This window comes from Homo sapiens, chromosome 22 (genome assembly GCF_000001405.40).
Source record: "Homo sapiens chromosome 22, GRCh38.p14 Primary Assembly".
Classification (NCBI taxonomy): domain Eukaryota; kingdom Metazoa; phylum Chordata; class Mammalia; order Primates; family Hominidae; genus Homo; species Homo sapiens.
The window spans coordinates 42,623,372-42,645,581 of record NC_000022.11 but is presented as its reverse complement, the minus strand read 5'-3'; the positions used below and the strand labels follow the sequence as shown (position 1 = coordinate 42,645,581).

At 54.7% G+C, this 22,210-nt stretch overlaps 2 protein-coding genes across 7 annotated transcripts in view, besides 5 other annotated features; both read left to right on the top strand.

The window, feature by feature from the left end:
- Positions 1 to 22,210, top strand: part of CYB5R3 (cytochrome b5 reductase 3) — a 31,553-nt gene that overhangs the window by 3,811 nt on the left and 5,532 nt on the right. For 5 of the 6 annotated variants that reach the window (NM_000398.7, NM_007326.4, NM_001171661.1 and 2 more), the window contains 7 exons: positions 8,736 to 8,867; positions 14,132 to 14,204; positions 14,594 to 14,700; positions 17,301 to 17,430; positions 17,894 to 17,977; positions 18,193 to 18,278; positions 21,694 to 21,793. In NM_000398.7, coding sequence (NP_000389.1) covers positions 8,736 to 8,867; positions 14,132 to 14,204; positions 14,594 to 14,700; positions 17,301 to 17,430; positions 17,894 to 17,977; positions 18,193 to 18,278; positions 21,694 to 21,793 — 712 coding nt within the window. Of the gene's footprint in view, positions 1 to 955; positions 1,193 to 8,735; positions 8,868 to 14,131; positions 14,205 to 14,593; positions 14,701 to 17,300; positions 17,431 to 17,893; positions 17,978 to 18,192; positions 18,279 to 21,693; positions 21,794 to 22,210 lie in introns of those variants that run through there. The other variant, NM_001171660.2, reaches the window with a different exon arrangement.
- Positions 372 to 1,363: an enhancer, noted in NCBI's record as "H3K27ac-H3K4me1 hESC enhancer chr22:43040225-43041216 (GRCh37/hg19 assembly coordinates)". NCBI's record gives its function as "activates a minimal SCP1, AML or CMV promoter by ChIP-STARR-seq in primed H9 embryonic stem cells {active_cell/tissue: H9 hESC(primed)}" and the evidence as "EXISTENCE:reporter gene assay evidence [ECO:0000049][PMID:30033119]".
- ATP5MGL (ATP synthase membrane subunit g like) lies at positions 4,981 to 5,779 on the top strand. Its single transcript, NM_001165877.1, has one exon. The coding sequence runs from the start codon at positions 5,308 to 5,310 to the stop codon at positions 5,608 to 5,610; it is 303 nt and encodes a 100-aa protein (NP_001159349.1). The 5' UTR covers positions 4,981 to 5,307; the 3' UTR covers positions 5,611 to 5,779.
- Positions 8,294 to 8,829: an enhancer, noted in NCBI's record as "H3K27ac-H3K4me1 hESC enhancer chr22:43032759-43033294 (GRCh37/hg19 assembly coordinates)". NCBI's record gives its function as "activates a minimal SCP1, AML or CMV promoter by ChIP-STARR-seq in naive H9 embryonic stem cells {active_cell/tissue: H9 hESC(naive)}" and the evidence as "EXISTENCE:reporter gene assay evidence [ECO:0000049][PMID:30033119]".
- Positions 8,830 to 9,367: an enhancer, noted in NCBI's record as "H3K27ac-H3K4me1 hESC enhancer chr22:43032221-43032758 (GRCh37/hg19 assembly coordinates)". NCBI's record gives its function as "activates a minimal SCP1, AML or CMV promoter by ChIP-STARR-seq in primed H9 embryonic stem cells {active_cell/tissue: H9 hESC(primed)}" and the evidence as "EXISTENCE:reporter gene assay evidence [ECO:0000049][PMID:30033119]".
- Positions 13,570 to 14,071: an enhancer, noted in NCBI's record as "H3K4me1 hESC enhancer chr22:43027517-43028018 (GRCh37/hg19 assembly coordinates)". NCBI's record gives its function as "activates a minimal SCP1, AML or CMV promoter by ChIP-STARR-seq in naive H9 embryonic stem cells {active_cell/tissue: H9 hESC(naive)}" and the evidence as "EXISTENCE:reporter gene assay evidence [ECO:0000049][PMID:30033119]".
- Positions 21,435 to 21,989: an enhancer, noted in NCBI's record as "H3K27ac-H3K4me1 hESC enhancer chr22:43019599-43020153 (GRCh37/hg19 assembly coordinates)". NCBI's record gives its function as "activates a minimal SCP1, AML or CMV promoter by ChIP-STARR-seq in naive H9 embryonic stem cells {active_cell/tissue: H9 hESC(naive)}" and the evidence as "EXISTENCE:reporter gene assay evidence [ECO:0000049][PMID:30033119]".

The window sequence follows — 22,210 nt, the reverse complement described above, 5'->3', positions numbered from 1 at the left end:
CTCATCTGCTGCCCACGGCGAGCCTGGCCTTCTGAGCAGTGCTTGACTCCCAGCTCAGCCACGGGAGCTGCGTATGTCCTCTCTGAGTGTGGAACAGGCGTGGAAACAGCCTGGAGCCGGATCCTAAGCCCACCTCTGAGGCCTGTGCTCTTGGAGGACAAGCGGGCTTTTCTGACAAACAGGACAGGCTGTGCCGCGCCCTCATCCAGGAGTCTGGGCTCTTGTCCTGGTTCTGGAAACTTCTAGGCAAAATAAAAACACTGGGAGGGTGGGAGCCTGTTGTCCCTTCACTAATTCATTCCACAAATATTTGTTGAGTGCTTTCTGTGTGGAGTGTTGGGGATACAGTGGTGACGACAGACACAGATCCTGCGGTCTGCTCCAGGGCCACTTCTGGAGACTTGTGGGGAGCCGGCAGCCTGGGGTTGGAGGCCAGCATTCGGGGACTTGCCATCGGAGCCACTAATACGCGGGTGTCTTTTTCTTGGCCCAGCGCCCACCCAGGCTCACTTCCATGGGTTTAGGTTTAGGGCAAGGGAGGGAAGTGGGAAAGCAACAGAAAATCAGAAACCAGGCTCCACCCTGGGCCTCCTTGAGCTACATTTGTCCCCTCATTGTCACACGGGGAGCCTGGTTGTTCCCACCTTGCACCACTGTGGGAGGGCCGGGGAGGAAATGGGGGAAGGTGCCTCGCAGCCCGTGAAGCCAGCTGCCCGCGGAGGGGCCTTAAGCTGGGCTGTGCACTGACGCAGCTGTGCTGGAAAAACAGAACTCCAGGGAGCACCAAGCACAACCCCAGCTCCTAATGTCATTCAAGTTCATTGCCAGGGCCCCCAACAATGGTGATTTCCTGTGAATGTAACTTCGGCCAACTTTTTCCCTAGACTCTATTCCACGTGGGCGTGGTTTCTGTGACTGAGGGAGAGGTCGATAGCAGAGGAATCCTCGGAATAGTACTTGCCCCAGGGAGTTTCCAGAAGGGACCAGGGGCTGTGAAAAGTCTACCAAGGGCCTGGTTAGCTAGGGAAGGGCTCATCAGGGAAGATTTGATGTTTGAGCTAGGCTCTGAGGAATGAATAGGAGTTTGCTGGTTGGATGCATGCAGAGCAAGGACATTTGGGGCAGAGAGGAGAGCATATGCGAACGCCTGAAGCAAGATGGGCTTGATGTTGAAAGAGCAGAGAGCTGGGAGGTGAGTCCAGAGTTGGGGCCATAGAGAGGGTGCCTTCAGGTAGGCAGTGGGGAGCTATGGTGGGTATTTGAGGAGGGGTGGAGCCGCCTGTTGGTTCGGACCCCCGGGGCTGGGGGCAGGTGCTCAGGCCTCACTGTGGGAGGCAGGATGTCAGATTTGGGCTGTGAGCTCTTTGACTGGAGCAGAAAGAGTGCCCCTGTCCTGGGAGGTGGCTCAGGAAGAGCAGCACTTTGGGCTGGACATTGAGAGTCCACTCCCGGCCCACCCTGAATGGCTATATGACCTTGGCAGGTCACTTCATCTATCTGAGGGATAGATAACAGTGTCATGTGGTGAGCGATGCTTGGAGGGCTGGCTTTGGTGTACTCCGGGCAGGTCACTCCCCTTTCCTGGCCTCAGTTTCCTCACGTGCTGGGATGATCACAGTGCCCGCAGCCTAGGGTTGAGGTGGGGAGTATTCCAGGAAACCCGCGGCCCCTACTCAGAACAGTGCCAGCTCAGGGGCGCTGACCGCTGTGTGCCTCCTTCCTCCCCACCCTCCCCATCCTCCAGGTAGGGCCCGGGGAAGTGAAGCGACTCTCCTGCCATCCTTAGCTGGGACTCAAACCCTGGTCTCTCTGACCCAAGTCCACAGCTGCCAACTGGGGCCTTAAAGGAGGCCTGGGATGAGTGAAACACCTGGGCCATGCTGATTAAATGGGTGGTGGCCAGAGACCCCAGCTGGGTGGCCCTGGGCATGGGTGAGGGGTGGGCTAGGCATCCACAGCCCTTCCTTTAGACCCATGGGTCAAATACCAAGGGCCCCATGGAGCGAGGCCTCAGCTGCACCCAGCATGGAGGCCCTGCCTGGGAGAGAGGCCTTTTGTTTTAAGCCCAACAAAGGACCTGTAACTGTAGCTGGGCAGCTTGGAGCTGCTGGGCCGTTGCAGGGTGGGGGGTGGGGGGGCGGGGGCCAGGCCTGGTGTGAGGTTGTAGCACCCTGCCCTTCCTTCACTTGGCTATTCCACTCCTCTCAGTTGGTAGTGGCCCCGTGAGGGTGGCAGGAAAAGCTCCTGTGTGTGAGCCGGGACTTCCCAGGTTATAGACCCCTACGTGACCTGGGCCCCAGCTCATCTCATCTCACATCGCTTCAAGGAGATAGGCCAGGCAGTGGCCCTCGCTTTTTACAGACAGGACACGTGGCTCCACCAGAGCGTCCTCCTCAAATTGTTGGAGAGTAGGGACTCCTGGTAGTGTTTCCAGAAGGGGAGGGGCAATGGGGCTAGGCCTTGAGAGGTTAGGAGCATCTTACCTGGCTCTGAATAGAGCAGAGGCACTTGTCTGTGTTCTGCAGGATATACTACCTCAAGGGGCCCGTAGCAGGTCCCACAAAGCAAGTAGAGAGGCCTGCACGCATGCAAGGAACTTGTTTCTCAGCTTCCTGGCACTCAAAGTGAAAAGGGAACTTGTAGGGTAATGATAAGAGAACACACATGCACATTTGCTGGGAGAACTACAATCAGGGAGGTATATGGGGAGGGTGTATAAACAAGCTCTGAAACAGCTTTCTTGAGAGCCAGTGTTTTATATGAACTTTGGCTTCTCAGCCTCTCTAGTTGAACTACCAGTATGGGCTTCACACACTTTTTATTTTGAAATAATTTCAAATTACTGGCCGGGCGAGGTGGCTCACGCCTGTAATCCCAGCACTTTGGGAGGCTGAGGCGGGCGGATCACGAGGTCAGGAGATCGAGACCATCCTGGCTAACGCAGTGAAACCCCGTCTCTACTAAAAATACCAAAAATTAACTGGGCTTGGTGGCGAACGCCTGTAGTCCCAGCTACTCGGGAGGCTGAGGCAGGAGAATGGTGTGAACCCAGGAGGCAGAGCTTGCAGTGAGCTGAGATCGTGCCACTGCACTCCAGCCTGGGCAACAGAGCGAGACTCCATCTCAAAAAAAATAATAATTTCAAAGTTACTGTAAAAGAACATTTATGGGCTGGACGCAGGGGCTTATACCTGCAATCCTAGAACTTGGAAGGCTGAGGCTGGCTGTTGGCTTGAGCTCAGAAGTTTGAGATTAGCCTGGGCAACATGGTGAAACCGCATCTCTACAAAAAATACAAAAAAATTACCAAGGCCTGGTGGTACGTGCCTGTAGCCCCAGTTACTTCGGGGACTGGGCTGGGAGGATTGCTTGGGTACAAGAGGTCAAGGCTATAGTGAGCTGAGATCACGCCACTGCATTCCAGCCTGGGTGATAGAGTGAAACCCTGTCTCAAAAAAAAAAAAAGAGCTCTTATGTACTCTTCACCCAGATGTACCTAATGTTATTATTTGCTACATTTGCTTTATTTCTCTCTATACAGTATATATCTAATGTATGTTAAATATATTAGATACTACATGTGTGCATATCCATACAGTGGACCCTTGAATGGTATGGGGGTTAGGGGCTGACCTGTATAGTTGACAGTCCACGTATAGGCTGGGTGCAGTGGCTCATGCCTGTAATCCCAGTACTGTGGGAGGCTGAGGCGGGTGGATCACTTGAGGTCAGGAGTTCGATGAGACCAGCCTGGCCAATGAGAAAAAACCCCGGCTCTACTAAAAATACAAAAATTGGCCAGGCGCTGTGGCTCATGTCTGTAATCCCAGCACTTTGGGAGGCCAAGGCAGGCAGATCACCTGAGGTCAGAAGTTCGAGACCAGCCTGGCCAACATGATGAAAACTCGTCTCTACTAATGATACAAAAATTAACTGGGTGTGGTGGTGGGCGCCTGTAATCCCACCCACTTGGGATGCTGAGGCAGGAGAATCGATTGAACCCGGGAGGTGGAGGTTGCTGTGAGTTGAGATCTCACCACTGCACTCCAGCCTGGGTGACAGAGCCAGACTCCATCTCAAAAAAACAAAACAAAACAGAAAATAAAAATTAGCCAAGTGTGGTGGCGTGCGCCTGTAATCCCAGCTACTTGGGAGGTTGAGGCAGGAGAATCGCTGGAGCCCAGAAGGCGGAGGTTGGAGTGAGACAAGATCGCGCCACTGCATTCCAGCCTGGGCCAGATCTGTCTTAAATAAAAGAAAAAAAAAAGAAAATCCATGTATAACTTCTGGTTCCCCCAAAACTTTCCTACTAATATACTATTGACTAGAAGCCTTACCAATAACATATTTGTATATTGTATGTATTATATACTATATTTTTACAGTAAAGTAAGCTAGAGAAAACTGTTATTTTAAAAATCATAAGGGGCCGGGCGTGGTGGCTCACGCCTGTAACCCCAGCACTTTGGGAGGCCGAGGCAGGAGGATCACCAGGTCAGGACTTCAAGACCAGCCTGGCCAACATGGTGAAACCCTGTCTCTACTAAAAATACAAAAATGAGCCAGGAGTGGTGACGTGCGCCTGTGATCCCAGCTACTCGGGAGGCTGAGACAGAAGAATTGCTTCAACCTGGGAGTTGGAGGTTGCAGTGAGCTGAGACCGTGCCACTGCACTCCAGCCTGGGTGACAGCAAGACTCCGTCTCAAAAAATAAATAAAGAGAAAAAAAAATCATAAGGAAGAGAAAACATATTTACTATTCATTAAGAGGAAGTGGATCATCATAAAGGTCTTCATCCTTGTTCTCACGTTGAGAAGGCTGAGGAGGAGGCAGGGGGTAGTCTTGCTGTCTCGGGTGACAGAAGAGGAAGAAGATCCTTGTATAAGTGAACCACTCAGGGTCCTGGCCGGGCACAGTGGCTCACGCCTGTAATCCCAGCACTTTGGGAGGCCGAGGTGGGTGGATCATGAGGTCAGGAGTTCAAGACCAGCCTGGCCAACATGGCGAAACATTGTCTCTACTAAAAGTACAAAAATTAGCCAGACGTGGTGGTGCTCACCTGTAATCCCAGCTACTCGGGAGGCTGAGGCAGGAAAATCACTTGAACCCGGGAGGCGGAGGTCACAGTTAGCCAAGATCACACCACTGTACTCCAGCCTGGGTGATAGAGTGAGACTCCATCTCAAATAAATAAATAAATAAATAAATAAATAAATAAATAAATAAATAAGTGAACCACGCAGGGTCCTTCCGGGGGGTGACCTTCAGCTGGCCATTCGGGATGATGGACTTTCCATCCCAGAACCATGGCTCCATTTGTCCGTAACCTTGTGGAGAAGACCCCAGCACTGGTGAATGCTGCTGTGACTTACTTGAAGCCTCGATTGGCCGCATTTTGGTACTACACCACGGTTGAGCTGGTTCCTCCCACCCCTGCTGAGATCCCTAGAGCTATTCAGAGCCTGAAAAAAATAGTCAGTAGTGCTCAGACTGGTAGCTTCAAACAGCTCACAGTTAAGGAAGCTTTGCTGAACGGTTTGGTGGCCACTGAGGTGTCGACGTGGTTTTATGTCAGAGAGATCACAGGCAAGCGTGGCATCATTGGCTAGAATGTTTGAAGACCAGTCTTAACATCTGATTATATTTGATTTATTATTTGAGTGTTGTTGGACCAGGTGTGATCAGACTGCTATCTGAATAAAATAAGATTTGTCAGAAATTCCAAAAAAAAAAAAAAGTGAATCAAGCAGTTCCAACCCATGTTCAAGGGTCAACTGTGTCTATATTTTGAACCATTTAAGAGTAAGTTGCCCCTTTGCCCCTAAATATTTCAGTGTGTATCTCCTAAGAACAAGGACATTCCTTTGCGTAACCACAGAATAATTACAGGAAAGTAACATTGGTACAACACTATTATCTAATCCACAAGCCTTATTCAATTTTTTTTTTTTGAGATGGAGTCTTGGCTCTTGTCACCCAGGCTGGAGTCCAGTGGCATGATCTCGGCTCACTGCAACCTCTGCCTCCTGGGTTCAAGTGATTCTCATGCCTCAGCATCCTGAGTAGCTGGGATTGCAGACGCCCGCTACCATACCTGGCTAATTTTTGTATTTTTGGTAGAGACGCGGTTTTTCCATGTTGTCCAGGCTGGTCTCCAACTCCTGACCTCAGGTGATTCACCTGCCTCGGCCTCCCAAAGTGCTGGGATTACAGGCGTGAGCCACCGTGCCCGGTCCCCCCCCACTTTTTTTTTTTTTGAGACAGAGTCTCGCTCTGTCACCCAGGCTGGAGTGCAGTGGCACGATCTCAGCTCACTGCTACCTCCGCCTCCCAGGTTCAGATGATTCTCCTGCTCCAGCTTCCTGAGTAGCTGGGGTAGCCTGCCACCACACCCAGCTAATTTTTGTATTTTTGGTAGAGACGGGGTTTCACCATGTTGGCCAGGCTGGTCTCGAACTTCTGACCTCAAGTAATCTGCCTGCCTTGGGCTCCCAAAGTGCTCAGATTACAAGTGTGAGCTACAGCGCCTGGCCTTTTTTTTTTTTTGAGATGGAGTTTCACTCTTGTTGCCCAAGCTGGAGTGCAATGGCACGATCTCGGCTCACTGCAACCTCCATCTCCTAGCTTCAAGCATTTCTCCTGCCTCAGTTTCCTGAGTAGCTGGGATTCCAGGCATGCGCCACCACATCCAGCTAATTTTTTGTATTTTTAGTAGAAACTGGGTTTCACGATGTTAGCCAGGCTGGTCTTGAACTCCTGACCTCAGATGATCCCCCCGCCTCAGCCTCCCAAAGTGCTGGGATTACAGGCGTGAGCCACCGCGCCCGGCCTTTTTTTTTTTTTTTTTTTTTTATGGAGTCTTGCTCTGTCTCCCAGGCTGGAGTGTGGTGGTGTGATCTTGGCTCACTGCAACCTCCTCCACAGGCAACCTTCTGCCTCAGCCTCCTGAGTAGCTGGGATTACAGGCATGCGCCACTGTGCCCGCCCAGGGATTCAGGTTTTCTAACCAACTTTTAGGGTCTTTTTTTTTTTTTTTTTCAACAGAGACAGAGTTTTGCTATGTTGCCCAGGCTGGTCGCGAACTACTGGGCTCAAGCAATCTTCTGCCTCTGCCATCTGAGTAGCTGGGACCACGGGCGTGTGACACTGCAACCAGCTAACTTTTTTTTTTTTTTTTTTTTTTTGAGATGGAGTTTCACTCTTGTTGCCCAGGCTGGAGTGCAATGGCATGATCTTGGCTCACTGCAACCTCCGCCTCCCAGGTTCAAGCGATTCTCCTGCCTCACCCTCTCAAGTAGCTGGGATTACAGGCACCTGCCACCACGCCCGGCTAATTTTTGTATTTTTAGTAGAGATGGGGTTTTACCCTGTTGGCCAGGCTGGTCTCGAACTCCTGACCTCAGGTGATCCACCCACCTTGGCCTCCCAAATTGCTGGGATTATAGGCGTGAGCCACTGCACCGGGCCTACAACCAGCTAACTTTTTATATTTTTTGTAGAGATGGAGTTTCACCCTGTTGCCCAGGCTGGTCTTGAACTCGTGGACTCAAACTGTTCACCTGCCTCCGCCTCTCAGAGTGTTGGGATTACAGGCTGGAGCCACTATGCCCAGCCCCCTTTTAGGGCCTTCAGGAGACTGAGATGTCGGGGGCAGGGGCTGGGGAGGAACAGCCCCTCAGGGCCGTGTGGCAGGGTCCACTTGGTCATGAGGTATCCCAGCGTGGTATAAGGGATGGGTGGACTCTGGGTCAGCTCCTCACCTGCCAGCTGTGTGACTGGGTGAGTCGCTTTGCCTTTCTGGGCTGTTTCCTCATCTGCGAAATGGTGGTGATGACAGTGCCTACCACACGGGGTTGCTGCGAGAGCCGTGCCCGTGTGGTACCCGACGTGGCCCTGGGATCCCAGAGGCTGTTGGCTTTGGTGATCTGAGCTGTAGGGTCTCAGCTCTGGGGGCCTTGCAGATCACCTGGTCCACTCAGGTTGAGAGGGGAAGGGACTTTCTCGGGGTCACACAGCCAGTGACCTTCCCAGTGCCTGGCTCAGTGCTTCGCTTCCCCTTACACCTGATGGCAGAACCCCAGGGCTCAGGGACACTCATGGATGTCATTTGGGGGAAGTGGCTCAGTTTACTCAGCTTCACTGGCTTGTTCTAGTGTGCTCTGTGGGAGAGCAAAGAGGAGAGCATCAATCCCAGTGGCCCCAAGGGACTGGATTTAAAGGTGCCATAGAGCCATTTGGTCAGTGTAGGCCTTTCAGATAGATTCTGAGTTGGGGTTATTATTTGTCTGTTTGTCTAAATCAAGCTAGAACTTGACATCACTTAATAAGACCAGGGAAGTTGACTGAAGGAAGCAAGAGAAGGAAGGAGCACAAATACATTATGCTCAAGATTAATTTTACTCTGAGCTTCCTAGTAGCCAAAGTGAAAAAGGATATGTGCTTAGACCCACAGCTCTTTTTGGTCCTGGCTCTTCAGAGGAAATGGAGCTTTTTCTCATGGTACTGAGCATAGAAGCCCAGGTAATGCTCAGTGACAGGTGTCATGAGGCTGGTCTTTATAGCTTCTCCTAGTGGGCACCAAAATGGATGATGAAGCTTTCTGGATGAGGGTGGTGGGGAGAGGGTGCTCCTGGCAGAGGGGGCAGCGTGAGCAGAGGCCTGGTAGTGTGGACAAGCCGGTGTGTTTGGGGAAAGGCAGGCTCCTGCACTGACCCCGCGGGTCCTGTCGTTTCAGTTGGGCCATATGGTGCTCTTCCCAGTCTGGTTCCTGTACAGTCTGCTCATGAAGCTGTTCCAGCGCTCCACGCCAGCCATCACCCTCGAGAGCCCGGACATCAAGTACCCGCTGCGGCTCATCGACCGGGAGGTGAGTGCCGGCCGCCGCCGCTGCCTCGTCAGCATCACAGCATTGCCCAGCACCTACTCTGTGCTCAGGGCATGGTCCTGCTCTGAAGTAGATACTGTTGTCCACCCATTTTACAGATGGAGAAAGCAAGGTGATGTCTCTTGCTAAGGCCACCAGGAAGTAGCAGAGGAATTTAAACCCTGGTCTCTCTGTCCACAGAGCCCCTTCTCTGAACCACACTCACTGCCTCATGCAAGGTCAGAATGGAAGGAACCCCTCAGAACTTTTAGGTTCAATCCCCCATTTATGGGGTAGGAATGCAGGGGGTGAGAGATTTGAAGATAAGGTCTCCTCCCTCCTCCCCCTCCCCCAGAGTCATTCCCCACAGCCTGGTACTACTGGACCTGGACACCTTTCACATCTGTGCAGATTCCCTGGGTGCTCTGAGCTGTGTGGGCTTCCTCTGCCCTGTTTGATTCTTACTTTCTTTCATTAGTGAGTTCATACTTTTTTTTTTTTGAGACAGAGTCTTGCCCTGTGTCCCAGGCTGGAGTGCAGTGGTGCGATCTCCGCTCACTGCAACCTCTGCCTCCCCAGGCTCAAGTGATTCTCCTACCTCAGCCCCCTGAGTAGCTGCGATTACAGGCGTGAGCCACCGCGCCCAGCCTAATTTTTGTATTTTTTGTAGAGGTGGGGTTTCGTCCTGTTGCCCAGGCTGGTCTCAAACTCCTGGGCTCTAGTGATCCCCGCACCTCCACCTCCCAAAGTGTTGGGATTACAGGCATGAGCCGTGGTGCCCGGCCTGACTCCTTTTTTTCAAAGCTCTGATTATGATTTAAAACCATCCTCTCCCTCTTTTGCCTTGCCCCCAGTAAAGGCTGCTTCCATCGGTCACTTGCCCTCTTCAGAGCCCCTCCCTTGCTCTATTTCTGGCCACCCCCAGCAGGCACAGGAGGGGTGTGGCAGGGAAAACTGAGTCACAGCAGAGAACATCATCTGCCAGGGCCCAAGTCTCCACCCTGGGCTTGTGCCTGGTGCCTCTGACTCAGGCTTCACAGGAATCTCAGGCTTCCATGGCACGGAGCTGGCCGTTTCCTGTAACTGTTGGGGCAAGTGTCTGTAATTGTCCCAGGAGCTCACAGAGAAGTTGACAACCAGAGAGAAGCAAAAAAATACAAAATGAAAAGTAAATTATTGGCCAGGCACGGTGGCTCATGCCTGTAATCCCAGCACTTTGGGAGGCCGAGGCCGGTGGATCACCTGAGGTCAGGAGTTCAAGACCAGCCTGGCCGACATGGTGAAACCCCATCTCTACTAACAATACGAAAATTAGGCCAGGCGTGGTGGCTCACACCTGTAATCTCAGCACTTTGGGAGGCCGAGGAGGGCAGATCATGAGGTCAGGAGATCGAGACCATCCTGGCTAACACGGTGAAACTCTGTCTCTACTAAAAATACAAAAAATTGGCCGGGCGTGGCTGGGCTCACACCTGTAATCCCAGCACTTTGGGAGGCTGAGACAGGCGGATCACAAGGTCAGGAGATTGAGACCATCCCGGTAACACGGTGAAACCCTATCTCTACTAAAAATACAAAAAATTAGCCAGGCGTGGTGGCAGGCACCTGTAGTCCCAGCCGCTGGCGAGGCTGAGGCAGGAGAATGACGTGAACCTGGGAGGCGGAGCTTGCAGTGAGCCGAGATTGCGCCACTGCACTCCAGCCTGGGTGACAGCAAGACTCCGTCTCAAAAAAAAAAAAAAAAAATTAGCTGGGCGTGGTGGCAGGCACCTGTAGTCCCAGCTACTCCAGAGGCTGAAGCAGGAGAATGGCGTGAACCTGGGAGGTGGAGCTTGCAGTGAGCCGAGATCGTGTCACTGCACTCCAGCCTGGGCTACAGAGCAAGACGCTGTCTCAATCAATCAATCAATCAATCAATATGAAAATTAGCCGGGCGTGGTGGCAGATGCCTGTAATCCCAGCTACTCCAGAGGCTGAAGCAGGAGAATGGCGTGAACCTGGGAGGTGGAGCTTGCAGTGAGCCGAGATCGTGCCACTGCACTCCAGCCTGGGCTACAGAGCAAGACGCTGTCTCAATCAATCAATCAATCAATCAATATGAAAATTAGCCGGGCGTGGTGGCAGATGCCTGTAATCCCAGCTACTTGAGAGGCTGAGGCAGGAGAATCGCTTGAACCTGGGAGGCAGAGGTTGCAGTGAGCCAAGATCACACCATTGCACTCCAGCCTGGGTGACAAGAGCGAAACTCTGTTTCAAAAAAATAAAAAATAAAAAGCAAAAAAAAGTAAATCACCACCTCCCAGATGAGACCACACTTAACCTTGCGATATGATTTTTTGTTTGTTTGTTTGTTTTTGAGATGGAGTTTTGCTCTCGTTGCCCAGGCTATAGTGCAATGGTGTGATCTCGGCTCACTGCAACCTCTGCCTCCCAGGTTCAAGCGGTTCTCCTGCCTCAGCTTCCCAAGTAGCTAGGATTACAGGTGCCCACCACCACGCCCTGCTAATTTTTTTTTTTTTTGTATTTTTAGTAGAGTCAGGGTTTCAACATGTTGGCCAGGCTGGTCTCGAACTCCTGACCTCAGGTGATCCACCCGACTTGGCCTCTCAAAGTGCTCGAATTACAGGCGTGAGCCACCGTGCCTGGCCCTGTGATATGTTTTATACTTATGTAAGCAGGCACACATGTTTTTTTCTTACCCAAATGAAATAATAACATTTTGAAACCTGTTTTTTAACGGTATTTTCCCTTGTTATTGTTATTGGTGGGTTGTTTTGTTTTTGTTTGTGTTTTTTTAGAACAAGGTCTCGCTCTGTCACCCAGGCTGCTTTCTGCAACCTCAAACTCCTGGGCACAAGCCTTCTGAGTAGCTGGGACCATGTGCATGCACCACTATGCCTGGCTCTGTTACTGTCGTTCCTTTTTGTTGTTGTTGAGATGGACTTTCGCTCTTGTTGCCCAGGCTGGAGTGCAATGGCACAATCTCGACTCACCGCAACCTCCACTTCCCAGGTTCAAGTGATTCTTCTGCCTCAGCCTCCCAGGTAGCTGGGATTATAGGCATGCGACACCATGCCCAGCTAATTTTGTATTTTTAGTAGAGATGGGGTTTCTCCATGTTGGTCAGGCTGGTCTCGAACTTCGACCTCAGGTGATCCGCCCGCCTCGACCTCCCAAAGTGCTGGGATTACGGGCATGAGCCACCACGTCTGACCCTACTGTTTCTTAATTCCAGAAATAATGTATGATTTATATGTGCTCACAGCAAAAACTCTGTAAGGTATGACCTCCACCCCTGCCCCATTGCCGCATCCCAGGGCCCCGTGCAGAGGGCCCAGGTCACAGCTCAGCGTGAGCCTGCCAGACCCTATGTGGGTATCACGTTCATACACGGGTGTGTGGAGGTGCGGGTGTGTGCACACTCAGTTTCTTTTTTTGATAACCTGGTTTTGTAGCCAGCCATACAACATGGATCCTTTTAGTATTTCATCATAGGGATGTTACACAAGGGAGCATGTGGCAGATGTCCTAGGATTGCAGCTTTGCCCCCTCATTGTGCCCATGGTGGCTTTGCGGGGTCCGCAGCGGGCCTGCTCTGGGTGCTCTGTGCTTTGCCCCACCCTGCTGCCCTACTAGAGGTTGGCCAGCACCATAATTGTTCATCTCTTGTCCTCATTTCTATTCTTTTTTTTGAGACAGAGTTTCACTCTTGTTGCCCAGGCTGGAGTGCAATGGTGCGATCTCAGCTCACTGCAACCTTGCCTCCCAGGTTCAAGTGATTCTCCTGCCTCAGCCTCCTGAGTAGCTGGGATTACAGGCATGCGCCACCACGCCTGGCTAACATTGTAGTTTTAGTAGAGACGGGATTTCTCCATGTTGTTCAGACTGGTCTCGAACTTCCGACCTCAGATGATTCGCCCACCTCGGCCTCCCAAAGTGCTGGGATTACAGGCATGAGCCACCACGCCTGGCCATCTCATTTCTATTCTTCCTCCAAATATTTTCTGGTACATGGGTGTCTGACCTTGACCCTTAGGACCAGTTGATAGTCCTGGAATCCACTTCCAGAAGGCCTTGGGGCTCTGTTTGCCCCTAATGCAGAAGCTTCTGGTAGAGGCAGCTTTGAGGCCTGGGCTGCCTGGGAGAGGTTGGTGGGCCCCCTGCACACCTGATCCTGAGTGGCGTTTGCACCGTCTTTCCTGCGATTTGCCTCTGCTCACACGTGTAGGGACGGGTCTCTCCTTGAGGCAGCTGCTCTGTGCTGGAACACTGCTCAGGTCGGAGAGTTCTCGTACTGAGCCGAGATGGGCATCTGTGATGTCCTGCCCTGTTGGAGAGGTCTGTTGTCCCCCTCTAAGTGATGACACCATCCACATGTGGACTTTGCCACGTTTGGATGTAAGCGCCTCTGCAGCGCCGACCTTCCGCATGGCTTCTTCACACTCCCTCTCCTGGCCATGCTGGGTACTGGGGACCCCACAGGGAGTGCACCCTCAGGACGCTGGGTTTGGTTCCAGCTCCGACTGGAACTGATTATGTGATCGTCCCTGGCCTGAGCGTAAGACCCACTTAACAAGACCTCAGGGGTTTTAGTCTCAGCTCCTTCCCTGGCCCAATCTGGCTCTTAGCCAGCCCCCCTCCTCCTCTGCCACTGTCCCAGCCACTGACCATGCCCTGGGTGCCCACCCTGTGCAGGGTGGAAGCCTGGCTTTGGGCTCTTGGAGTTCCTGGGCAGGGAAGGCTCCCACTTTCTGCCCTGTGAAGCCCACCTCAGTCCTGGCTGCCCCATTTCCCAAGGGGCTCTCAGGTGCAGTGGCTTCTGCAGCCCCTCTCTTGGGATGCAGGCCTGGGCACGTGCAGCCTTGTCTAGCTCTGCCCCAGTTTGCCCATCCAGCCCTCAAGTTCTTCCTGCCCCTTCAGGCCACTGCTTGAGCTGATGGCAGAGATGGATTCCTCCCTCCCCGTCCTGTCTGGCATCCTCCCTTTGGGACCCTGGGTTCATTCCCTGTTCTGGCCACCTTGTTTGTGGCCCCTCTAGGCCAGCAGGACAGACACACCCAGCGTGCGCCTGGCCTCAGCACCTCACACGCAGCGTGCATGTGTGTGCATCTGTGCTTGGCGTCGGCGTCACGTCTTACAAGGACAAGCAGGCACTGGGGAAGGGTGGGGACACAAAGGAGGAATGGGATGGGGGCTCCGAGGCCTGGGAGCCGCCCTGGGAGGCCTCTGCCCTGGGGACCGTTCAGCAGCTTTGGGCCTCTCTCCAGATCATCAGCCATGACACCCGGCGCTTCCGCTTTGCCCTGCCGTCACCCCAGCACATCCTGGGCCTCCCTGTCGGTGAGTCACGCCCCTGCTGGGCCCATTCGGAGCCCGGCAGGCTGCTGGGGCACTAGATCAGAGAGATGGAAGCTTTACATTTCCACCAGGGAGAGCAGGGAAGCCTTCAGGAGGAGGTGACAGCTGCCCTGGGCCTTTGAGGGCGAGTCTGTTGGAATGAGAGTGGGAAGGCCCAGAGTCCCTGGCAGTGGCACCAGCAGGAGTGAAGGCATGGAGGCAGGAAGCTGGGACGTGAGGGGAATCCCCGGGAGGGGTGGGAGGGGGCCGTGGGAGCTGACGCCAGGCCAGGCTTTGAATGCCGGGTGGGGTGCAGGGGAGTGGGTTGACAAGACCCAGGGGTCACCCGCAGGATGATCTCTGGCCCAGAGTGACCCCGTTCTGTCCTGCAGGCCAGCACATCTACCTCTCGGCTCGAATTGATGGAAACCTGGTCGTCCGGCCCTATACACCCATCTCCAGCGATGATGACAAGGGCTTCGTGGACCTGGTCATCAAGGTGAAGCCTCTGGGTCATGACTGTGGAGGGGGTGTGGGTGGGTGGCCATGGCAACAGCCCATGTGGACCCCCTGGACAGGGAAGTCTCCCGCTCCTGCCCTGTGCAGCCCAGCCTCGGTCATGGCTGCCCCACTTCCTCAGGGGCTTGCAGGGGCAGTGGCTTCTAGAGCCCCTCTCGAGTCCATGTCCCCCCGCAGCCCGGACTCCAAAGACCCAGTGCTCCCTTGTGCCTGGTTTCTGAGTAAATAGCACGTCATCTTTACCAACAAAAGCCAAAGAAGGGGGTCTTGGCAGAGAACAGGGGCCAGGGTTCAGGGCAAGTGCCTTCAAACAAGGACAGGTACCTGCAGCAGAGGCTCCAGGAAGGCCGGCTGGCGGTACAGACGCCCCTGCTGCGAGGTGTGACGGCGCAGTCCCGTCCCTGCTCTCACGCTGGGAGATCCCTGGGAGTTGGGTCCCGAGTGTGCGGGGTGAGGCAGCCACTCCACCGTGGTCAGCGGCCGGGCCTCTGTGACACGCAGGCCCTGTTCTTACCCGTTTCCCTAAGAAATGTCCCTCAGGCCTGCTAGGGAAACATGTGAGGGGCTCGTGTGGTGTTGTCTGGGAGCTGGGGTGATGGGCTTTCTGGGGTCTGCTGCGGGGTTCGAGGTGGAGGTTCACAGGAGAAGATGCAGGCGTTAGGGGCAGCAGCCCGGAACCTGAAACACACATGCCGAGTGGGAAGTAAGAGGCAGCATGACGGCCCCAGCAGGGACGTTTTTATGAAAATTAGAAATACAAGCTTTCAGCCAGGCACAGTGGCTCACACCTGTAAGCCACTTTGGGAGGCCAAGGCGGGTGGATCACCTGAGGTCAGGAGTTAGAGACCAGCCTGGCCGACATGGAGAAACCCCGTCTCTACTAAAAATACAAAAAAATTAGCTGGGCATGGTGGTGCGCACCTGTAATCCCAGCTACTTGGGAGGCTGAGGCAGGAGAATCACTTGAAGCTGGGAGGCAGAGGTTGCAGTAAGCCAAGATCATGCTACTGTACTCCAGCCTGGGCAATAGAATGAGAGCCAGTCAAAAAAAAAGAAATACAAGCTTTCCTGCAGAACAGAGGGTGAGAAGCAGCCTAGACCAGTGGGTATGTGGGGTGTTGGAGACCCTCCCCAATCAAGGCCAAAGCCCTATAGCCTCCCCAGCCCAGCACCCTCAGGTACCCCTGGAGCCCCCTTACTGGGCCGTAGCTGAGGCCCTTACCTTGCCAGGTCTGGGGGCAGGCACTGGATCTGAAGGGTGGGAAGGGCCCTGGCCCGGGCTCCTTCCTTGCTGGGGCGCCCAGGCCTGGCCTCAGGAGCCCGTCTTTGGCTGGAGGACGGACACTGGACACATAGTCATGGGGAAGCCAGTGCTCCCTGCAGGGGACAGGTACCTGCGACCGAGCTTCCAGAAGGGCCACCAGGGATGGGTGGGGTTGGCTGGTGAGAGTGGCTCCCTAGCAGGTGACAGTGAAGGTGAGATCTGGGGCTGAGTAGGCACTGACCAGGTGAAGAAGGAAGAAAAGGAGCTTCAGGTGCAAAGGCCCTGAAGTCAGCAGCAGGCTCAAGGATTGAAGTGGCTGGAGGGTTGGGGCAAGGGGTGGGAGAGGTCAGTGGGGCCAGACGGGGCCTTGGAGGCCCCAGTAAGGTTTGGGGCTTTGTCCAGAAGCACAGAGGAGGTGATGAGGGCTCAAGCATCTGTTCACGTTGAAGTCTCTCTGGCCAAATGTGGAGAAGCTATTAGGAGGATTCAAATTGAGGATGAAAAACTCACAGGTGACCAGGCCTCTCCTGGCTTGGAGACCTGGCTGGCTCCCTTGGTCCTTGATAAAGGTTAGAGTCCTGGCCTGGCACCCAGGGCCCAGGACAGTGTGCTCTGCCTGCCTGTCCGTGGCCCTCCACTCCCCTCTGCCTCCACACCCCATAGCCACCCTCTGTGCTGAAGCCACAACAGGCTCCCCTCCCTGAGGCACTGTGTACACGCTGTCCCTCCCCCAGCCACCTTCCCCTTCTCCATCCATCAGACTCCTTGGGCAGGGTGAGCCGCTCCTCCTCTGTCTCCCCATTTCTTTGTAGGTGTCGGATTGAGGCCCTTCTCTTTCCCAAGACAGTAATCCTAGAGAGTGCAGGGCAGGAAGTAGTCCCAAGAGTGAGGGAGGTTTTTAGCGACAGCACAAAACGGAAGGGACTGAGTGTCCACCAGGAGGAGTGTGGCTTAGTGGGCCTCCCAGAGCCTTGACTTTGCTGACGGGTTCAGTGTCTCCCGTTGGGAGGGGGCCCCAGAGACAGTTGGTGAAATGTGAGTGCATCCAGCCCTGGAGTTGGTCGGCCTTGTACACGAGGCTGGTGGTTTGCTTTCCCCGGATATGTCAGGTGGAGGCTGACTCCTGGGAGGACGGGGTGAAGGACGGGGTGCAGGACAGGTAGGATTTGACGGCTGGGTGGATGGGGCTCCACGGGAGAAGGCCATGTGTGGGCCTCAGAAGAAGCTGCAGAAGAGGCACTTGTCTCCCACTGTGGGCAAGAGCTCGCCCCTGAGACCTGGAGCTGGGGACTGAGGGCTGCGGGGGTGTCTTGCAGGTTTACTTCAAGGACACCCATCCCAAGTTTCCCGCTGGAGGGAAGATGTCTCAGTACCTGGAGAGCATGCAGATTGGAGACACCATTGAGTTCCGGGGCCCCAGTGGGCTGCTGGTCTACCAGGGCAAAGGTGATTCGGGTCGGAATCCCTTGGTTACACGGCAGGCTCAGAGAATTGGAGAGCTTGGGCGTGCTGGGTGCAGGGTGCAGGCCCCTGGCTCTGTGTGGATGGGTGACTCTCGTCAGGCCAGCTGTCCCTCTCTGGGAACTGAGTCTCCCTGGCTGTAGAGGGGGTAAGTTGCTGGCACAGGGGTTGCAGACAGGCCACTCCTGGGGGCCACGTCTCACCCACTGCCAGCCTCTATTTGGCTTTCTCAGCATCTGAAACAAGCAAGCAAGAGGACAGAGCTGAGCCTCCGGGTTCCCAGCCTCTCCACTGCTCCTGCACCTTCCTCATGGCTCGCGTTAGAATGGCAGCTGCCTCTACCTCGGACCTCACAGTGGGGGCAGGTTCTCCAGCCCCCTCTCCAGCCTCTCCAGCCACCACACATGGCATGTTTGATGGCCGGGCCTCACCCCTTCTCTCTCCCCAGGGAAGTTCGCCATCCGACCTGACAAAAAGTCCAACCCTATCATCAGGACAGTGAAGTCTGTGGGCATGATCGCGGGAGGGACAGGTACACGGAACCCCCCACTGAGGCGTCCGGCGGCTCATGTTAAGGGTGGGGTTGGGGTGTGGGTGAGGCGCAGGTTCTGAGTGCCTGGGAGCTACCAGAGGTCAGGGGCCCAGGCCCAGTGGTCCTGGCCCCTCCACCCCAGTACACCTGGGCGGGGCGGTGCCTGTGAACAGGCCTCGCTCAGCACGTGCGAGGCCCGGCCGGCTATTTTGCAGGCATCACCCCGATGCTGCAGGTGATCCGCGCCATCATGAAGGACCCTGATGACCACACTGTGTGCCACCTGCTCTTTGCCAACCAGGTCAGTGGGCATCCCCATGATGGGGAAACTCAGCTTACCCTGAGAGGGGACTTCGGGCCTGGTCAGGTGCTGTTCCAGGGGTCTGCACAGCTCTGCTGAGATTCTGGGGATGACCGGGATGGGGGGCCCTGAATGTTCTGTGCACTGGCGGCCTTGGCAGCAGCACGGCGGGCAGGCTTTGTGGTGCAGCGCCTGTGTCTGGCTGAGGGGGCTGCCTTGCGGGGAGCTCCCTGAGCACCCCCTCCCCTGGCTGCTTCCTCCAAAACTCAGAACTCCCTTCACCATGAGCACGGTGTGGAACCCACTGGTAGAGTGGGAAGAATGCTGGCCTGGACATGGAGGGGCCCATCTTACAAATGACCAGACATTTGCACGAAGCCCCTGAGCTACAGGGTGTCAGGGCAGGATTTGAATGTTGGTGTCTCTGGCTCCTGATTCATATCCTTGTCCACGAGCCCACTGCCTGCCTGCCCGCCCTGGCCTGCTGTGTGGTCTTGGACGAGCTACTTTCCCTCTCTGAGCTTCACTCCCTCATCTGTAGAATGAGCTGATGAAACTGGGTTGTTGCAAGGTCTTTTCAGGTTAGTGTTTTGTGACTGATGACGTAGATTTGGGGGAGAAGATGCTTGCCTGAGGTCCTTGGATGTGGGTCCTTGCCCCACCCTGCCTCCCCGCAGCTGCAGAAAACTGCCGCAAGGCCAACCAAGATGGCCTTGCCAGGCCCAGGGGAGAAAGAGCCAGAAATTCTAAGCTGGCTGGTGTGGAGGGAGAGAGGGCAGCAGTGAGACTTGGTGGTGCTGGTTCAGAGTCTGTGGAGGCCGTCAGACCGTCTGTCACCTGTACAGGCCATCTTTGCAGCTGGTAGCGAGGGCAGTGTGGTCGCCTCATCTCATACCTCCGAACACAGGCTCCGGGAGGGGCTTGACTGTGCATGTCTCGTGGGAAGTGCTGAAACCAGGATGCAAACCAGGGTTTTATTTATTTATTTATTTTGATACAAAGTCTCGCTCTTGTCCCTCAGGCTGGAGTGCAATGGCACAATCCTGGCTCACTGCAACCTCCGCCTCCCGGGTTCAAGTGATTCTCCTGCCTCAGCCTCCCGAGTAGCTGGGATTACAGGATGTGTGCCACCATGCCCGGCTAATTTTTATATTTTTAGTAGAGATGGGGTTTTACCATGTTGGCCAGGCTGGTCTCGAACTCCTGACCTCAGGTGATCCACCCGCCTCAGCCTCCCAAAGTGTTGGGATTACAGGCGTGAGCCACAGTACCCAGCCTATTTTTATTTTTAAAAAACTATTTTAGAAAACATCATTCTGTTTTACGTTTTTGCAAACCTTGGAATGTCTGGCTTCATAGGACAGCTAGATTCCTGTGTTTGTTTCTACATCCCATCTGTGTGATGTTGCCAGTCACGCAGCCTCTGGAAAGTGGCCCCATCTACTGAGAGAGGAAGAGTGAAAAATACCAGTGTCTCAGTATTATATGAAAACCATTTGGCCTCAGGGATCCTCTCCAGGGTCCCAACCCCAGGGGTCCCCATGCTACACTCCGAGAACCGTGCCAGTCGGGTCATTGCTGCTCGTTTCCTCTCCTACCTTCCTCCGTGACCTCAGTGCCTGGTTTTGAGCTGGGAGCCCCCTACCCTCGAGTAGCAGCCCCCCAAGGTTCCATCCCTCTGTTCATCTGTCAGGTGGGTCGCGGCGGTGGCCACCTCAAAGGATGGTGGTGAGGATTAAAGCATGAGACACACTTTAGCTCAGAGAGGAAGACATAACTTTTTTTAAAAAAATTGAGACGGAATTTCACTCTTATTGCCCAGGCTGGAGTGCAATGGCGTGAATCTCGGCTCACTGCAACCTCCGCCTCCCGGGTTCAAGCGATTGTCCTGCCTCAGCTACCTGAGTAGCTGCGATTACAGGTGCCCGCCACCACATCCAGCTAATTCTTTATATTTTTAGTAGAGACGGGGTTTCACCATGTTGGCCAGGCTGGTCTCGAACTCATGAGCTCAAGTGATCCACCCACCTCAGCCTCCCAAAGTGCTGAGATTACAGGCATGAGCCACCATGCCTGGCCTAAAAAGAAAGTTACACATAGTTAATAGAAAAAGAAAAGTGAAAAGATGCACACAAAAATCCTAACAGTCATTATTTCTGAAGGGTTTCAGGTACTTTTTCTTCCATATTTTCTGTATTTTTTTCCTTGAGTTCATCTAGCCCAAAGCCTGTCCCTGTCCCTGTCCTCACCCCATTAGGGCAGAAAGGGCCCTCAGCCTCCCACCCTCAGAAACTGGAAAAACTGTTCAACACCCCGTGTTCCCTGGGATGTGTTGAGGCTTATGCCCCTCACACAGCTCATCTGCTGGAGGGGAGCACCAAGGAGCTGGTGATTCCCGTATTCAGGCACCCTTGGGCTACGCGGAGGGTGGGTGCAGTTCCCCAGCCCTGGGAACAGAGGAGTCACGTCTGTGGCTGCCTCCTGGGGAGAGTCCACCCCGCCCTTGCCCAGCCTGGGAGCTCAGTAGCGATTTGTTAGTGGGCAGCCCTTTCTGGGTGGCAGCGCTCTTTGGCCCCTGGTTTCTTTGAGTTCCCTGAGGTCAGGGACACTGCACACTGACCTAAGGAGCCCCTTCTGTCCCTGTGTGACCTGCAAACGCTGGGCAGCAGCCTGTGATGTGATCAGAGGTGGAACGGGGGTGGGGGGCGGGGAGTCGGGTGGGGGATTCAGGGGGAGATCCCTGATAGCCCCTGGAGGGTCCAGGAAGCTTTCCTGGAAGGGATGACGCTGGACTGAGTTCTGTAGGGCTCTGTGACAGCCGGGTGGGGGTGGGGGAGCCGCAGGCCAGCCAGGAGGATGGGTGTGGGCAAGGCCCGAGGGGGCCAGGTTGGGTGGGGAGTGGTGTCTGTACTTCCTGGTTTCTGGAGGTACAACCTGAATGAGATCCCAGAACGCAAAAAGACTTGCCGGAGGGCTGAGGGTGCAAATCCTGAGCCTTCTCACGGGGCCATTGCTTATTGTATGTGTTACACCCGCTCCCGGGCTGACCCCCTGGAGTATCTTGGCACATTTCCCGTCTCTTCCCTTTTTGCTGTCGCGCAGCTTGGCCGCCTTTAGTTTTTTCCATTTTTCCCACTCTCGGGACATCGAGCCCATTTCCTCACAACAGCAGAAGCAGTTGACACACTGAGTTTCTAGCGAACGCCTTCGCCCCTTCAGCAGCAGCTTTGAGGGGCTCCTTAGGCTAGACAAGGAGAGAGGGGTGCCAGGGTGATCTCTGGCCGAGTCCCCTCCTGAAAGCTCCGCAAGCGTGTGGCCCGCAGGCGGGCGCGATGACGAGGCGCGTCTCTGTTGAGTGTCTCCAGGGGCAGTCTGCCACCCATCCTTCCTGACTGCCTGGCCCTGTCCCCTGCAGACCGAGAAGGACATCCTGCTGCGACCTGAGCTGGAGGAACTCAGGAACAAACATTCTGCACGCTTCAAGCTCTGGTACACGCTGGACAGAGCCCCTGAAGGTGAGTGAGGGAGGCCCCTCACTGGGTGGGTGGGAGGTGCCAGCCCACAGTTCACCTTTGCCCAGCTGTTTGTGGCGTTGAGCCTTTGGACGACATCTGGCACTCACTATGGCCCTGTGGGAGGCAGGTGGTGTGGCCCCGTCTCACAGATGAGGAACAAGGGCTCACTGAAGCCACACAGCCGGAAACCACCACAGCCCGGCCTGAAACCCAGGTCCTCGCCTCCAGAGGCAGAGTCCTTTCCCGGGCGCACTGCACTGCCCAGCTGGGCAGAGAAGGCCAGCGTCCCCTCCCTGGGCGGGGCTCACTTCGGGGCAAGTCTCGGGGCAGCGGTGGCGGCTGCTGCTTCCACATCCCAGCGTGCATACTCTCAGGTGCTGCCGAGTTACACCAAGGCCATCTTCTCTCCCATTGTCA

What these genes read in the sequence shown, in the direction of transcription:
- ATP5MGL (NM_001165877.1), top strand. Translation starts at nt 5,308, where the DNA reads ATGGCTCCATTTGTCCGTAACCTTGTGGAGAAGACCCCAGCACTGGTG.